This window comes from Homo sapiens, chromosome 17, assembly GCF_000001405.40.
Source record: "Homo sapiens chromosome 17, GRCh38.p14 Primary Assembly".
Taxonomy (NCBI): domain Eukaryota; kingdom Metazoa; phylum Chordata; class Mammalia; order Primates; family Hominidae; genus Homo; species Homo sapiens.
The window spans coordinates 44353189-44369865 of record NC_000017.11 but is presented as its reverse complement, the minus strand read 5'-3'; the positions used below and the strand labels follow the sequence as shown (position 1 = coordinate 44369865).

Sequence of the window (16677 nt, the reverse complement as noted above, 5' to 3'; positions counted from 1 at the left end):
AGTAGCAAGATTTATTGCAAAGAGCAAAAGAACAAAGCTCTTACGGTGTGGAACGGGACCCCAGCGGGTTACCGCTGTTGGCTCGGGCAGCCAGCTTTTATTCTCTTATCTGGCCCCACCCACATCCTGCTGAGTGGTAGAGCCTAGTGGCCTGTTTTGACAGGGCGCTGATTGGTGTGTTTACAATCCCTGAGCTAGACACAAAGGTTCTCCTCGTCCCCATCAGGTTAGTTAGATACAGAGTGTAGACACAAAGGTTCTCCAAGGCCCCACCAGTGCAGCTAGATACAGAGTGTCGGTTGGTGCACTCACAAACCCTGAGCTAGACACAGGGTGCTGACTGGTGTGTTTACAAACCTTGAGCTAGATACAGAGTGCCGATTTGTGTATTTACAATCCCTGAGCTAGACATGAAGGTTCTCCAAGGCCCCACCAGAGCAGCTAGATACAGAGTGTTGATTGGTGCACTCACAAACCCTGAGCTAGACACAGGGTGCTGATTGGTGTGTTTACAAACCTCGAGCTAGATAGAGTGCCGATTGGTGTATTTACAATCCCTGAGCTAGATATAAAGGTTCTCCAAGGCCCCACCAGACTCAGGAACCCAGCTGGCTTCACCCAGTGGATCCCGCACAGGGGCTGCAGGTGGAGCTACGTGCCAGTCCCGCACCGTGCGCCCACACTCCTCAGCCCTTGGGTGGTTGATGGGACTGGGCGCCGTGGAGCAGGGGGCGCCGCTCATCCGGGAGGCTCGGGCCGCACAGGAGCCCATGGAGTGGGTGGGAGGCTCACGCATGGCGGGCTGCAGGTCCCCAGCCCTGCCCTGCAGGAAGGCAGCTAAGGCCCAGTGGTGGGCTGGCACTGCTGGGGGACCCAGTACGCCCTCTGCAGCCGCTGGCCCGGGTGCTAAGCCCCTCATTGCCCGGGGCCGGCAGGGCCGGCTGGCTGCTCCGAGTGCGGGGCCCGCCAAGCCCACGCCCACCCGGAACTCCAGCTGGCCCGCAAGCAGCGAGCGCAGCCCGGGTTCCCGCTTGGGCCTCTCCCTCCACACCTCCCTGCAAGCTAAGGGAGCTGGCTCCGGTCTTGGCCAGCCCAGAAAGGGGCTCCCACAGTGCAGCGGTGGGCTGAAGGGCTTCTCAAGTGCCGCCAAAGTGGGAGCCCAGGCAGAGGAGTCCCCGAGAGCGAGCGAGGGCTGTGAGGACTGCCAGCACAGTGTCACCTCTCACTACCACATGCCTGGCACTATTCCAGTGCTGAGATGCAGCAGTGAACAAAGCAACGTCCCTGCCCTCCTGGAACTTACATTCCAGAGGTAAAAAGTAAAGTAAACAAATAAATGTATGGTTAGTAGCAGTCAGTGCTGTGAGTGAAAATAACGGTGACGAGAGAGTGATAGATTGTATGTGGGTGGGCCGGGTACGGTGGCTCACACCTATAATCCCAGCATTTGGGAGGTTGAGACGGGCAGATCACCTCAGGTCAGGAGTTGGAGAACAGCCTGGCCAACATGGAGAAACCCCGTCTCTACTAAAAATACAAAAATTAGCCAGGCACGGTGGTGGGCACCTGTAATCCCAGCTACTCAGGAGGCTGAGGCAGGAGAATCACTTGAACCCATGAGGCGGAGGCTGCAGTGAGCCAGGATCGTGCCACTGCACTCCAGCCTGGCAACAGAGCGACACTCCGTCTCAAAAAAAAAAAAAAAAAAAAAAAAAAAAATATATATATATATATATATATATATATTTATATATATATATATTTTTATATATATAGTGGGTGTTTGGAGGGGTGCTACTAACATTTTAGGTAGGGTGGTCAGGGAAGGCCTCTTTGATGAGATAAGCAGGGAGATGAATGACTGAGCCATGCAGCTACATGAAGATAAAATGTTCTGGAAAGAAAGAGCAGCCAGTGAAAAGGCCCTGAGGTAGGAGCTGGCTTAGTGTGTTCAAAAAAAGCAAGGAGGCCCATGTGGCTGGAGGCAGGTGTGGGTGAGGGTTCAGGAGATGGGGGATGGGGGCAGGAACACCCCGTGGCCATGGGGAGGACTTTGGACTTGACGCCAAGTGTTGGGGGAAGCCATTGATGAACAATACAACAGCAAGAGCTGTTGGTATTTGATTCTACCCAAAGGTGTAAATAGTAAATTCTGAAGAGAATATTTTGACATCCATGCATGGCAAGTTTCGGAACAGGTTTCTATTTGGGTGACTGAATGCATTTAAGAAAAGATTAAGCCGTGATCCTTGAATACCAGCCAAATTGCCTCCTCCTTCTGTCATTGCGATTGGATGGCTCCAGACAACTTATCTTGATCCAGCAAAGCATTTGGCATTTGTCCTTATAGACAAGACGTAAATGTGAGCTGGATCCTAGGGACTCGGATTTAGACCTGAACAATTCTGATAAAGCTGAAGGAGATCTCTATGAAGCTCCATCCTGGCCCTGGGCTGCCTGGCATTGTTATGAGTCCCTTGAATGGAGGTAGAGGAAGCCATCTTCACCCTGCAGATGGCTGCTGGCTGGGAGGGAGCTCCAACACAATGGGTGACTGAAGCAGATTCAAAGCAGCCTTGACAGATTGTAAAGTTGGGTGGAAACCAACAAGATGAAATTCACCAGGGATGAGTGCTAAGTCTTGTGTTGAGGTTCCAAAAAACTGGTTACATAAGAATAGCACTGGGAAATCTGGTGAGATGGAAATTTCTGTTGAAAACAGAGAGAGGCTGGGCGCGGTGGCTCACACCTGTAATCCCAGCCCTTTGGGAGGCCAAGGCAGGTGGATCACGAGGTCAGGAGATCGAGACCGTCCTGACTAACACGGTGAAACCCCGTTTCTATTAAAAATACAAAAAAATTAGCCGGGCGTGGTGGCGGGCACCTGTAGTCCCAGCTACTCAGGAAGCTGAGGCAGGAGAATGGCGTGAACCCGGGAGGCGGAGGTTGCAGTGAGCCAAGATCGCAGCCACTGCACTCCAGCCTGGGTGACAGAGCAAGACTCCATCAAAAAAAGAAAGAGAGAGAGAGAGAGAGAGAAAAGAAAAGAGAGAGAGAAATGAAAAGAAGAAGGGAAGAAGGAAGGGAGAAAGAAAGAAGAGAGACAGATACACTGGCAGTTTTCATTCTGTCCACAAGCTTATAATGATGTCCCCTTAAATCAGAAGACCCAACCAGGAGGGTTGCTGTTCTCTGGGAAATGGGGTCCTTGCCTTAGGTATCCAGTCCCCTCTTGGCCACCATACAGTGAGAAAGAGAAGGTGACAAACCAGAGAGAACCAGGGAAGAGATACCAGTTAAGGATTTGGCCAGGTGGAAACTGATTGATGATGACAACCAGAAATATTGAACTGGAAGGAAAGAGAGCTTGGCTGGGACTAGGGCAAGCCAATAGCTGTCCTCAAATATGGGATTCAATGGCTGAGGACAAAGGAGAGACCCAGTTTATCATTCACAAAGCCAGAACCAAGACCACTGAGAATCACCAACTGGTGGAAGAGAAAGGCTGCTGCCAGCCCTGGAAACACTCCTTAGCCATTAGCACTGCCCAGCAATGGATCATATTACCTGGGCACAGGTGAGTCCCTACCTCACCCTGGGCCAACAGTAACAGCATTTATTACGCCCCTGCTCCTGTGAGGCTTGTGCTAGACTCTTTTGACATCATTATTTGGCCATTACATCTCATTTAGTTGTTACAGCAACCCTATGAGGTAGAGATTATGACAACTCCCATTTTAAAGGAAGACTGAAGACCAGAAGGCTGAATATCTTGCCAATGGCTTAATAAGAGACTTAGGGCTAGGCACGGTGGCTCACACCTGTAATCCCAGCAATTTGGGAGGCTGAGGCGGGTGGATCACCTGAGGTCACAAGTTCAAGACCAGCCTGGCCAACATGGTGAAACCCCATCTCTACTAAAAATACAAAAATTAGCCGGGCATGGTGACAGGCATCTGTAATTCCAGCTACTCAGGAGGCTGAGGCACAAGAATCTCTTGAACTCAAGAGGCAGAGGTTGCAGTGAGCCGAGATTGCATCATTGCACTCCAGCCTGGGCAACAGCAAAAGACTCTGTCTTAATGATCGGTAGCTGCAACACTAGAAAAATGGCGAGCAAGAGCAAAGAAAAATCCCTTTGGTTCTAGAAAATCTCCTGAAAAAAAGGCTTACCAAGCCCTCAAAGCCACCCAGGCAAAGCAGGCACTTTTGTCAAAGAAAGAGCAGAGGAAAGGAAAAGGGCTCAGGTTTAAGCAACTGGAATCATTCCTACATGATTCCTGATGGCAGAAATGTGACAAAGTGCATCTCAGACAACTAGAAGTGAAACATCATGCCTTGGAATTGCCAGATAAACATTCCTTGGCCTTTGTTGTACACATCGAAAGAATTGATGGCGTGAGTTTACTGGTGCAGAGAACCATTGTAAGACTTTGCCTAAAGAAAATTTTTAGTGGTGTCTTTGTAAAAGTCACCCCCCAGAACCTAAAAATGCTGCGTATGGTGGAACCTTATGTGACCTGGGGATTTCCAAATCTGAAGTCTGTCCAGGAACTCATTTTGAAACATGGACAAGCCAAGGTCAGGAATAAGGAATAAGACCATTCCTCTGACAGACAACACAGTGATTGAGAAGCACCTGGGGAAGTTTGGTGTCGTTTGCTTGGAAGACCTCAGTCATGAAATTGCCGTCCCAGGGAAGCATTTCCAGGAGGTCTCATGGTTGTTACGCCCTTTCTACCTCTCAGTGGCCCGTCATGCTACCAAAAATACAGTGGGCTTCCTCAAGGAGATGGGCACACCTGGCTATCAGGGTGAACGCATCAGTCAGCTCATCCGCCAGCTGAACTAGACCCAGGTGCCAAACTGCAGTAAATTTTTATTAATGAAGTGGAAGCATGGGTAGTAGAAGCATGTGTTTTTGTTTTTTTGGGAATTTTTATCAAGTATCTTCAGAGAAGATTATTTCCAGCTTTATCTTCAAAAACTGGAAAGGAAGGGTCAAAGAAAAGACAGAAGCTCACGCCTGTAATCCCAGCACTTTGGGAGGCCGAGGCGGGTAGATCACTTGAGATCAGGAGTTCGAGACCAGCCTGGCCAACATAGTGAAACGCTGTCTCTACTAAAAATACAAAAATTAGCCGGGCATGGTGGCGTGCACCTGTAGTCCCAGCTACTTGGGAGGCTGAGGCAGGAGAATCACTTGAACCCGGGAGGCAGAGGTTGCAGTGAGCCAAGATCACGCCACTGCACTCCAGCCTGGGCAACAGAGCAAGACTCTCTCTCAAAAAAAAAAAAAAAAAAAAAAAGAAGGAGAAGAAACAGTAGCTTATGTTCATGGCAAGCACCTCTAATCACAGTCCAGTTTCCAAGGAAAAATTCCAGCGTTTTAGTTTAATGTCGGTAAGTGAGTAACTCTAGCATTTGTACAAGGCTCCCTAAGACTCCTGCACCAGTCGGCCAAGCCCAGGGACATAATTGAATTTGGAGATTCTTGGGGCCTTGTTTTGAAAAAGACTTGAAATAGGAAGAAAGGCCCAAAAATAAATGTTCACTTGTCTCTGAAAAAAAAAAATCTGTCTCAAAAAAAAAAAAAAGAGAGACTTAGGGGGGTCTAGGGGGCCTTCCCTGCTATCACCCCAGCACTGCCTAGGTGTTCTACCGGGAGAAGGGGGCCATCGAGCAGGGAGTTCTTACAGTTTTCTGAGACTTTCATGACCGTACCCCTTGAGAGTGTTGTAGGCAATATCCACTCCCCACCTACACACACACAAATTTTGCACCAAATTTTGGGGACTCTCGAAACCCAAGAACCCGGGTGATGGGACCCTAATCCCGACACTCCTTTGCAGCGCAGAGTCTGGGAGCGCAGAGCGCGGGGGCTGCGGGGTGGGCTGAAGGTGGGCAGTACCGGGGGGCGGCGGGCGGAGCGGGGCCGGGAGGGGGCGGTGCCGGAGGGCCAGCGGTGTGGCGCGCCGCCTGCAGGGGGCGCTTGCGGCGGCTCCGGTCGGAGACAATCGCGCTGAGCGGGCGCCGCAGCGGGAGCGGGAGCCGGAGCTGCGAGGCGCGGCGCAGAGCTGGGGCTGCGCGGGGCCGGGCGAGCGGGACCAGGCGGGAGCCATGGACCGCTAGGGCCCGGCCTAGCCCCGCGATGCCGCCGGCGAGTGGCCCCAGCGTCCTCGCGCGGCTGTTGCCGCTGCTGGGGCTGCTGCTCGGCAGCGCCTCCCGGGCTCCCGGCAAGTCGCCGCCGGAGCCCCCCAGCCCGCAGGGTGAGTCTCAGCCGGGAGGGGCCGCGATCGCGGGCCTGCGCCCCCTGATCAGGCTCCCGCCCGTCAGCCCCCTCTTCGCGGCGTTCGTGAATTGAGTGGTATTCTGTTCCCTGGATTCGGGTGGGGGGAGCTAAGCGATCTGGGGTTGGCGCTTCTGGGGGAAAGTGGAGGCGGGGAGAGGGAGGCCGTCCGGGGCGGGGGTCTTGGGGAGACACAATGGGTAGTGCGAGGGTCCCCAGGATCTGCGCCGCCGCCCTCTCCCTATTTGTTTTTCTCCCTCCTGGTCCGCGAGGCGCTGCTGCCTGAGCCATTGTCTACCGAAGACACCCGCCCAGGGGCGGGCTGGGGCGGGCGCCTGCTCCGCAGCCCCCTGCGGGTTGCTCGCTCCCGACCCTGGCGGGGTGGGGGCGCCGGCATCCGCTGCCACCCTAGGCCGGGACCGGAGGCTGGGAGCCTGGAGCTGGGTTTGAAGGGGGGAGGGGAGAAGGGGGAGTGGGTGAGGCTGTGGGCGGGATTGACTGCTCTAATGGGGTTCTTTGCCCTGGAGCCTGACAGCTCCCAGCCAGCCCCCCTGGTTTAGAGTTTGGGGTGCACCAAATAAATGCTTGTGAGCCTATGATGGAGGACGAGCCGCAGTTGTGGGCCTCTAAGAAAAGGGGGTACATTGTGATTCCCAGCTGAGGGAGCATGGCAGGCTTGTGGTCGTGGAGCCATGCTGAGCTAGCTGGCTGTGGGCAGTGCCGGCTGGGAGGGCAGGTGCCTGGGTCCCCCCCCATTCAGCAGGCCTCCTGGCATTCCTGTCCCCTGCCCGCCCCCATATCACCCCCTCCTCATCTCACATCTTCGCAGTGGAGGAGACCCTTCCCAGCGACTCACCGGGCGCAGGTGGGTGTGTGAGGTGGGGGTGGGGCCGGCTCCTGCAGCAGGAAAGGGTGGGGGAGCAAGACCCTGACAACACATCCCACAGGCAGGCCTGGACGCTTGGGGGCCTCCGCCCACTCCAGTCCTGAGTCCACCTCCCGGGTCCTGCTCTCCCTCTCCTGCCTGTGGGCCCCATCCCTGCCTGAAGCAGTATTCACTCCTCACCCCCCACACTAAGGAGCTGGCAGGAAAAGCAGAGTGGGGGGGTCTGGATGAGGGAAGTGGGGTCCGGATGAAGGGAGGGGGTCGGATTTCCTCCTGGACTGAGGCAGGCCTAGAGCCGGGAGAGGTGGATACTATATGGAATGTCAGGCTTCGAGGAATGGGTAGGGTTCACCCTCTGCCTCAGTCTCCCCCAGCTCTCTCGGGGAGGAGATCAGGCTTTTCTTAGTAGGAAGAAGCCCTAGTTTCTTAGGACGCCCCTCCCCTCAAGTCCCTGCACCTCAGGGGAAGGGGCCCAGGGAATTGGCTGGAATAGAGCCAGGATTGGGGGTTCTCTGGGGCAGCTGGCGGGGAGCCCAGGTTGAGGGAAAGGGGGAAGGGAATCTGCTAGGCACCTGCCCCCTCCCTTCTCCCCCACCCGCAAGGTTGGCACAGATCCTTACCAGCCCACCCCAGTTTTGTTTCCCCAGCCCCCTCCCTCTTCTGAAACTCTGACTCTTGAACCCAAGGCATTCCCTCAAATGACCATATCTCAGACTCGGGATCCCTCTCCCCAGCTGCTCTATCCAGCTGTTCCTAAGCCCGGGATGGAGGTGGGAGTAGCCAGGACCTTCTAGCTTCTCCGAATTCCTAATGGGTGTTGGCAGGGGGATGGATGAGGACCTTGCACACGTCCTCCTAGGCTCTACCTCCCCCCACCCCATGCCACTTAACCTCTCTGAGCCATAATTTGTTCATTTGTAAGACATGGAAGGATAGTGCCTACATCATCAAATTGAAGTAAGAATTAAATCACATCAAATGTGCAAAAAAACAGTAAAGGGGTGCCAGCTTCCTGGAGGAGCAGAGAGCGAGAGTGAGTGGAGTGTGCACCCACCCTGCAGGGTTGGGCTCTGGCCTGGGAGGGGAGGTGGGCTCAGGGGAACAGCTGGATGGGATGCCTAGGGCAGGCGTGGCGCTGGCTGCGGATTGGGAGCCTGAGCTAAGACACCTGTCACTGCTGAGTGTCAGGCTCCACTCTAAGGCCTTCCCTCTCCTTGAAGTCTCCACAGCACCCTGACCTCCCCAGGCCCTGCTGCTCTCAGCTCCAGACTCTTCCTTCCATACCCAACCCCCACTAGATTTGCATCCAGCACTCAGCCCACTTCCCACCTGTCTCCTGGGCCCCCCACTGAGGTGTCCATACATGCATGACACACCTTGTTAGCAGGAAGGTAGGGGCGAAGTGTGTTCTTGAGGGAGGGGCTGTGCTGATGGGAAGGGGTGCCCTGGATCAGAGAGACTGCCTGGAGAATCCATGGGAACAACTCAAGGCTTGGTTCCTTCCCATCACGCCATCTGAGGGCAGGACGCCTGCCTGATGGCCTGGCCAGATTCTCCACGGGCTGTGGGCAGAGGCATCCCTGGAAAGCAAAAGACTTGGGCTTCCCTCCCCAGCCCCCTCCACAATAGTTCTCTTGGGCCTGGGTTGCTCCCCCCTAGATCTCCTTTCCCTTACCAGGGCCCCAGCTCCCTGCCTGATCTCCTGGGAGGAATGAGGGCGTTGCCATGGTGACTGACTGTAGCTGACCAGCTGGGAGGGGGCAGGCGGTTCATGTGAGGGGGAGGAGGCAGAAGTAATTTGTTTGGGCATGGGGTTGGGGTGAGTCCCTAAATCTGAAGGGAAACAGGCTTGTGCAAAGGATTCTGGGAAAAGGATGAATGATGGGAATGACCAGTTTCCTAGTGTCCCCTGTCAATTTTTTCCCAAGACCCCAAACTCTGCCCTAGCCTCCATCCTCCCTTTCAAACTGCTGAATCTTGACCCTTCTCCTCTCCGCCTGCGGACCCAGCTTTACTTAGCCTTTCTCAGCCCTCCTGTCCTTCTCCTCTCCCCAGGCCCGGGGTTAAGAATGTCGCTTCTAGAGGCAGACTGCCAGGTCTGGATCCCAGATCTCCACTTAGCTGTAGTCCAAGTATCTAAACTCTCTAAGCCTCAGTTTCCTTATCTGTAAAATGGACTAAGAGCATATATTATCAAATCCAATACACCACTGACTGTAAGATGCACCATGATTTCAGGTACCAGTAAGAAAGGAAGAAATGCTGCCAGTTATAACGATGGCATCATCAATCATAGGCATAGCCCGAGTTTAGAATTGTGAAAATGTGACACAGCGCATGTGTTAGACGATGAAATACAGGAATAGTCCCACCTCCGGCATGGGCTGATAGGAGGTTTCAGTGAGTGCTCTGTGAATGCTGGGTCTTAAATCATGCCTTCTCTAGCCTCAGCCCAAAAGACTCTCTCAAACACAGCTCCTTCCTCTGATCTTGGGGCTCCCCCCAGTTCTCTTTCCCCCTCCCTCGTCCTCACTCCCTTTGCCCCATCTTGCCCACAGAGATCCTGATCAAGGTGCAGGTGTATGTGAGCGGGGAGCTGGTGCCCCTGGCCCGGGCCTCAGTGGATGTGTTTGGGAACCGGACTCTGCTGGCAGCTGGCACCACAGACTCAGAGGGTGTGGCCACCCTGCCCCTCAGTTATCGCTTGGGCACCTGGGTGCTGGTCACTGCTGCCCGCCCTGGCTTCCTCACCAACTCTGTGCCCTGGCGTGTTGACAAGCTGCCCTGTGAGTGCAGGGGCAGGTGGAGGGGGGGGACAGCAGCTGACCCTCCATCAGCCCCTTCCCAAAATAGTCTCCTTGGGGGTGGAGGGGGAGGCTTTCCAGCAGCTGCTGCCTGGGCTGGGGTACACAGAGGGGGCTGAGGGAGGGTGAAGCCTCTGGGACTCAGATGGAGGGGGTGCCTGGCTGGGGGGTAGGGGGTGGGTTTTCCTGGAGCTGACCGGCCATCCCTCCCGCAGTGTATGCGTCTGTCAGCCTCTACCTGCTCCCTGAGCGGCCGGCCACGCTCATCCTCTATGAGGACCTGGTGCACATTCTCCTAGGCTCTCCCGGTAAGGCTCCCCCTCACCCACGCCAACTCTTCTTCCTTCCCCTGACCTAGGTGTAGAGACCTCCACTGTCCTATATTAGCTGGGTGTCCTTGGGCAAGTCACTTCACCTCTCTGAGCCATAATTTGCTCATTTGTAAGACGTGGAAGGTTAGTGCCTACATCATCAAATTGGAGTAAGAAATCACAAAGTGAAAAAACACAGTACAGAAGGTGTTCAATAAATGTTTACAGTTATCGGGGCTTCTCGTGGTTTCTATTCTCCATCTATTCCTACCTTCCCTGCCACCTTTATCTTCAATGGGTCTACACAGATTTGTTGTGCACCTGCTGGATGCACAGGTGCACAGGAAGTGCAAGGCCCAGAGCAAGCCTGCAGTTCCTGGTCTACCCCCAGGCTTTTGGTCTCGCTCAGCTAGTACTTACTTCAACTCCTAGGCTGTGCCAGGCATTGTGGCTGGTGCTGGGAACCACGGTGAGGAAGAAGACCCGCTCTTTGCCTTTGGACGTTCACAGACAAGTAGGAAGACAGATCATTGCAAGCCCTGAAATAGTTCCAGAGCAGGCAGGGCAGTGGAGTGGAGGGCAGCTGCTTTCAGTGCTGAGACGGCCCTAACCTGCGAGGGGACCTGGCTGGGTGAGAGCTTGTCGAACGGAGCAGTCAGCCCTCGACTCAGGAGTGAAGGGGAAGCAGAGGCACCTCCACTGGAGAGGAAGGCCAGGGGGAGACATCAGGTGGAGGGTAGTAGAGGACAGTGAGGGTTTGGGGGCTCCATTCCGCTTAGAGGGCCATGGTGGGTTTCGGAGTTTGAGGAACCCCATCCCAGTTTGTAGTCTCAGCTTGAGCCCTTGTCATGGAGCTAGTTTTTGTTGTTGTTGTTGTTGGGTTTTTTTTTGAGATGGAGTATTGCTCTGTTGCCCAGGCTGAAGTGGTATAACCTCGGCTCACTGCAACCTTTGCTTTCTGGGTTCAAGGGATTCTCCTGCCTTAGTCTCCTGAGTAGCTGGGATTACAGGCACCCATCACCACGCCAGACTAATTTTTGTATTTTTAGTAGAGACGGTTTTGCCATGTTGGCCAGGCTAGTCTCGAACTCCTGACCTCAGGTGATCCACCCGCCTCTGCCTCTCAAAGTGCTGGGATTACAGGCGCGAGTCACTTCACCCGGCCTCACCAAGCTGCTCTTGTTTGCTCACCTTCGTCACTCTGATCCCAAGCTTCTAAGTGCCCCTGCAGGTTTCTAAAATACCAGTGGACCCTTTGTGGCCCCCTAGCTTGAAGCCCCTGCATGGCGCCTACTGCTTTCAGTACCAAGCCCAGGTGCCATCTCAGAGCTGACTGCACCCTCCAGAGCCCGGGCCGCCCTCTGCCCCACGCCTCTGGGCCTTTCTCATGCCAGGCCTCCTGGATGTCCTTTCCCTCTTTCTTTCCTGGCTGAGTCTTCCACATCCTCCAAGACTCCACAGGGCCTCCCCTGAGCTGAGTGAGACCAGCTCCCCTAGTCCTCTGCATCCCTCTATTTGGATAGCAAGGCAGGAGGAATGGCATGGCAGAGGATGGGCCTGGAGCCCGATGGCCTGGGCTTCTATCCGGGCTCGAGGATTGTGACCTCGTGCAAGTTACTGAACCCCTGTGCCTCCATTTCTGCACCTCTAAAATGAGGTTGATAATAGATACCTAGCTCAGGGGCTATTTTCCTAATTGCAGGGGTTAATATAGGTAACCTGCTTAGAACAGTGCCCAGCATAGCTTAAAGATTAATAAATGTTAGCTGTGACCATATTGTATTGGAATTGTTTGTATGTCTGTCCCCTCCACCCCAACACACACACACACACACACACACACACGACCTAAACTGTCTAATGCAGTAGCCACTAGCTACATATTAAATTGAAGTAAATTAAATTAAAAATTCATTAATTTTTTTTTTTGAGATGGATTCTCACTCTGTTGCCCAGGCTGGAGTACAATGGCATGATCTTGGCTCACTGCAACCTCTGCTGCCTGGGTTCAAGCGATTCTCCTGCCTCAGCCTCCCGAGTAGCTGGGATTACAGGCGCCTGCCACCGCACCTGGCTAATTTTTGTAGTTTTAGTAGAGATGGGGTTTCACCATCTTGGCCAGGCTGGTCTTGAACTCCTGACCTCGTGATCCACCTGCCTTGGAATCCCAAAGTGCTGGGATTACAGGCGTGAGCCACCGCGCTCGGCCTTTTTTTTTTTTTTCTTTTGAGATGGAGTTTCGCTCTTGATGCCCAGACAGGAGTGCAATGGCACAATCTCAGCTCACCGCAACCTCCCCCTCCCAGTTTCAAGTGATTCTCCTGCCTCAGCCTCACGAGCAGCTGGGATTACAGGAATGCACCACCACACCCAGCTAATTTTGTATTTTTAAGAGAGTCAGGGTTTCTCCATGTTGGTCAGGCTGGTCTCCAACTCCTGACCTCAGGTGATCCACCCACCTTGGCTTCCCAAAGTGCTGGGATTATAGGCATGAGCCACTGCACCCACCTAGAAAAAAATCATTACATTTTTAAAAATTAAAAATCCAGTTCCTCAGTCACACTAGCCACATTTCAAATGCTTAACAGCCACGTGTGTCCAGTGGGTACCATAATGGGCAGCACACCTAGAAAACATTCCCATCACAGCAGACGTTCATCTTTGGGCCCCCAGTGTCTAACCTGGTGCCTGCCACATAGTAGACAATACTGTTTGAGGATCTGGATCGCAACATTTTATAGGTTCTATAAGGAAACTTTCTACTAAAACAAGTAAATTGCTGAGGGTCACACAGAGATTTCAGGTCCATGTCCCTTCCAGGTTAACATTCCATGACTGCCCAGCTTTCTCCCCAAGGCATCACCCTCCCTGGCCTTCCAAAGTGGCCTGACCTCATGTCCCCCTTTTCCTTAGATAATGGGTTTCTGCTCTGGTCCCTGGGGATCCCTGTCCATGGTCAAGCCACTGCAGCCCCTCTTTCCCTCCAGGTGCCCGCTCCCAGCCCTTGGTGCAGTTCCAGCGCCGGGCTGCCCGCCTGCCTGTCAGCTCCACCTACAGCCAGCTCTGGGCGTCACTTACGCCTGCCAGCACCCAGCAGGAAATGCGGGCTTTCCCTGCCTTCCTGGGCACTGAGGCCTCCAGCTCAGGTAGGCTGGGTGCCCAGCACGGATGGGGTCTCCCCAGGCTCAGGATCAGCCCTCAGCCCTGTACCCTCTTCCCTCAGGCAATGGCTCCTGGCTGGAGCTGATGCCCCTGACTGCTGTGAGCGTGCACCTGCTGACAGGTAATGGGACAGAGGTGCCGCTCTCAGGCCCCATTCACCTGTCCCTGCCCGTGCCCTCCGAGACTCGTGCCCTCACCGTGGGCACCAGCATTCCAGCCTGGAGATTTGACCCCAAGAGTGGTAAGTGCCTCAGGGGGCTGCAGGTGCTTGAGTTGAGAGAAGAAAGTGGGACTTGAGTGGGAGCGACTCAAGTGTGACAAAACCCCTGCCTCTCCCAGGGCTGTGGGTGCGCAATGGCACTGGTGTAATCCGGAAGGAAGGCCGGCAGCTCTACTGGACCTTCGTCTCCCCCCAGCTGGGGTACTGGGTGGCCGCCATGGCCTCCCCCACGGCTGGTAAGAGTAGTGGGGCAGTGGGCGTAGAGGCCGCGGAGGAGGGGAGCTGGGAGAGCAGACTTCTGAAAGGCAGGAAGGGTGTCTACACCTGAACGCTAAGCCCTCGCCTGGCACAGGGCTGGTCACCATCACGTCGGGCATCCAGGACATCGGCACCTACCACACCATCTTCTTGCTCACCATCCTGGCAGCCCTGGCCCTGCTGGTGCTTATCCTGCTGTGTCTGCTCATCTACTACTGCCGGTGAGCACGGGGCTTCCCTCACCCTCCCCTGCACTTGTACCGGGCCCTGGGGCCCCAAAGATGCATAAAATCCACTTCTGGTCCTCAAGGGGCAGACAGGAAAAGACTTCCTGCAAACATGCTAAGACCTGAAGGGCTGGTGCTGGTGGTTGAAGACAGCGGGGAGGTGGGAGGGGAGGCAGGGCTTAAGGACTTGCAGCCCGGCCCCTCCAGAGAGATCTGCCACTGCCCCTACCAGCCCAGCTCTCTCTCCCAGAGGACTCCAGGCCGGACACACCCATAGACAGCTTAGATGCTCATCCCTGGTTCTCGCAGCACATCCTACATGCAGAGGAGTGCAGAGTTGACCCTGAGGGGATCGCCAAACGGACACGGCGGCTCCCCGCCATCTCTCCTGAGCGCCCCAGGCATTCTCCCCACCTCTTCCACTATATTCGTCTCTTGTCTTGCATCTAAGGGGGTTCGGGGCCTACTTTGGCCCTCACCCTTTCCTGAGCGGCCCCTTCTGCTCCCTCCCTTCCAGGAGGCGCTGCCTGAAGCCGAGGCAACAGCACCGCAAGCTGCAGCTCTCGGGGCCCTCTGACGGTAACAAACGAGACCAGGCCACCTCGATGTCCCAGCTCCACCTCATCTGTGGGGGACCCCTGGAACCCGCCCCGTCGGGGGACCCCGAGGCTCCGCCTCCAGGCCCCCTCCACTCGGCCTTCTCCAGCTCCCGGGACTTGGCCTCCTCCCGGGATGACTTCTTCCGCACCAAGCCGCGCTCTGCCAGCCGCCCGGCCGCCGAGCCTTCGGGTGCCCGCGGGGGCGAGAGCGCCGGGCTCAAGGGCGCTCGCTCGGCCGAGGGCCCCGGCGGGCTGGAGCCCGGCCTAGAGGAGCACCGGCGGGGGCCCTCGGGGGCTGCGGCCTTCCTGCACGAGCCGCCCTCGCCGCCGCCGCCCTTCGACCACTACCTGGGCCACAAGGGGGCGGCCGAGGGCAAGACCCCCGACTTCCTGCTGTCGCAGTCGGTGGACCAGCTGGCGCGGCCGCCGTCGCTGGGCCAGGCGGGGCAGCTCATCTTCTGCGGCTCCATCGACCACCTCAAGGACAACGTCTACCGCAACGTCATGCCCACCCTGGTGATCCCCGCGCACTACGTGCGCCTCGGCGGCGAGGCGGGCGCCGCCGGCGTGGGCGACGAGCCGGCCCCGCCGGAGGGCACGGCACCCGGCCCGGCGCGCGCTTTTCCCCAGCCCGACCCCCAGCGCCCGCAGATGCCGGGCCACTCGGGCCCGGGGGGCGAGGGCGGCGGGGGCGGCGGCGAGGGCTGGGGGGCCGGGCGCGCGGCGCCCGTCAGTGGCTCAGTCACCATCCCTGTGCTATTCAACGAGTCCACCATGGCGCAGCTCAACGGGGAGCTGCAGGCCCTGACCGAGAAGAAGCTGCTGGAACTGGGCGTGAAGCCGCACCCGCGCGCCTGGTTCGTGTCCCTCGACGGGCGCTCCAACTCGCAAGTGCGCCACTCTTACATCGACCTGCAGGCGGGCGGCGGGGCACGCAGCACCGACGCCAGCCTGGACTCGGGCGTAGATGTCCACGAGGCGCGGCCCGCGCGCCGCCGGCCCGCGAGGGAGGAGCGGGAGCGCGCCCCGCCTGCCGCGCCGCCGCCGCCGCCCGCGCCCCCGCGCCTGGCGCTCAGCGAGGACACGGAGCCCAGCAGCAGCGAGAGCCGCACGGGCCTCTGCTCTCCGGAGGACAACTCGCTGACGCCGCTGCTGGACGAGGTGGCGGCGCCCGAGGGCCGGGCGGCCACGGTACCCCGGGGGCGGGGCCGCAGCCGCGGGGACAGCTCCCGCAGCAGCGCCAGCGAGCTGCGGCGCGACTCGCTCACCAGCCCGGAGGACGAGCTGGGGGCGGAGGTGGGCGACGAGGCGGGAGACAAGAAGAGCCCGTGGCAGCGGCGGGAGGAGCGGCCGCTGATGGTGTTCAACGTCAAGTAGCGCCCGCGCAGGGCCTGGCACCGCCCCTCCCGCGCGGGCCCGCACCCAGGGTGCGCGCCCCGGGGGCCCGCGGGGGCCCTCGCGCGTAGCTCCCAGCCCCAGGCCGGAGAGGGGCCCAGGGGCCTTGGAGCTGTTCCGTGGTTGGTGCTGGGTCGTGTCTTGCAAGGGACCCTGTGTCTGCCTCCAAGCCGGGGAGGAGGGGGGGTCCAGACCCCCACGGGGAGGTGCCGGGGAGGAGGGCTGGGGGGAAGCAGTGCCTGTGTAGACGTGGCTGTACATAGAAAGCTCTATTGTGGGAAAGCAGGAGGGGTGACCCAGCCTCAGCTGCTAGTGTGAGGGCTGGGAAGGGAGGGGGCGTTCTTTGTGGACCCCTGGGAGGGGAGGGGGTGCTGCTTGCTGACTAGCCCATCTCTGGGCTACGATGTCACAGGGCTGGTGGCTGGGACAGCTCTGGGGACTAGGGGGTAATGTGATACAGCCGATGTGGGCAGCAGCAAATATAAAACTGGTGAGGTTAAGGCTGTGTATGTCTTTCTGTGGGGTA

The 16677-nt window shown here is 56.9% G+C and overlaps 1 protein-coding gene and 1 pseudogene across 2 annotated transcripts, besides 6 other annotated features; both read left to right on the top strand.

Moving 5' to 3' along the window:
- Positions 238 to 737: an enhancer, noted in NCBI's record as "H3K4me1 hESC enhancer chr17:42446497-42446996 (GRCh37/hg19 assembly coordinates)". NCBI's record gives its function as "activates a minimal SCP1, AML or CMV promoter by ChIP-STARR-seq in naive H9 embryonic stem cells {active_cell/tissue: H9 hESC(naive)}" and the evidence as "EXISTENCE:reporter gene assay evidence [ECO:0000049][PMID:30033119]".
- On the top strand, positions 4083 to 5060 carry RPL7L1P5 (RPL7L1 pseudogene 5; annotated as a pseudogene).
- Positions 5922 to 6301: a silencer, noted in NCBI's record as "silent region_8592". NCBI's record gives its function as "represses an Ori minimal core promoter by ATAC-STARR-seq in GM12878 lymphoblastoid cells {active_cell/tissue: GM12878}" and the evidence as "EXISTENCE:reporter gene assay evidence [ECO:0000049][PMID:35858748]".
- FAM171A2 (family with sequence similarity 171 member A2) lies at positions 6013 to 16651 on the top strand. Of its 2 annotated transcripts, NM_198475.3 has the most exons (8): positions 6013 to 6269; positions 9734 to 9961; positions 10195 to 10287; positions 13278 to 13436; positions 13514 to 13693; positions 13792 to 13908; positions 14025 to 14151; positions 14675 to 16651. In NM_198475.3, the coding sequence occupies exons 1-8, from the start codon at positions 6152 to 6154 to the stop codon at positions 16131 to 16133; spliced, it is 2481 nt and encodes an 826-aa protein (NP_940877.2). In that variant the 5' UTR covers positions 6013 to 6151; the 3' UTR covers positions 16134 to 16651. The 2 variants fall into 2 exon arrangements, with proteins under 2 accessions (NP_940877.2, XP_016879979.1); XM_017024490.2 differs by lacking the exons at positions 6013 to 6269; positions 9734 to 9961; positions 10195 to 10287 and adding an exon at positions 10761 to 10921.
- Positions 7829 to 8428: an enhancer, noted in NCBI's record as "H3K4me1 hESC enhancer chr17:42438806-42439405 (GRCh37/hg19 assembly coordinates)". NCBI's record gives its function as "activates a minimal SCP1, AML or CMV promoter by ChIP-STARR-seq in primed H9 embryonic stem cells {active_cell/tissue: H9 hESC(primed)}" and the evidence as "EXISTENCE:reporter gene assay evidence [ECO:0000049][PMID:30033119]".
- Positions 8429 to 9029: an enhancer, noted in NCBI's record as "H3K4me1 hESC enhancer chr17:42438205-42438805 (GRCh37/hg19 assembly coordinates)". NCBI's record gives its function as "activates a minimal SCP1, AML or CMV promoter by ChIP-STARR-seq in primed H9 embryonic stem cells {active_cell/tissue: H9 hESC(primed)}" and the evidence as "EXISTENCE:reporter gene assay evidence [ECO:0000049][PMID:30033119]".
- Positions 15079 to 15128: a silencer, noted in NCBI's record as "silent region_8591". NCBI's record gives its function as "represses an Ori minimal core promoter by ATAC-STARR-seq in GM12878 lymphoblastoid cells {active_cell/tissue: GM12878}" and the evidence as "EXISTENCE:reporter gene assay evidence [ECO:0000049][PMID:35858748]".
- Positions 16159 to 16228: a silencer, noted in NCBI's record as "silent region_8590". NCBI's record gives its function as "represses an Ori minimal core promoter by ATAC-STARR-seq in GM12878 lymphoblastoid cells {active_cell/tissue: GM12878}" and the evidence as "EXISTENCE:reporter gene assay evidence [ECO:0000049][PMID:35858748]".

Coding starts and splice junctions, on each gene's coding strand:
- FAM171A2 (NM_198475.3), top strand. CDS start 6,152: ATGCCGCCGGCGAGTGGCCCCAGCGTCCTCGCGCGGCTGTTGCCGCTG. Junction 6,270..9,733: donor GGAGCCCCCCAGCCCGCAGG/GTGAGTCTCAGC, acceptor TCTTGCCCACAG/AGATCCTGATCAAGGTGCAG. Junction 14,152..14,674: donor CTGCTCATCTACTACTGCCG/GTGAGCACGGGG, acceptor CCTCCCTTCCAG/GAGGCGCTGCCTGAAGCCGA.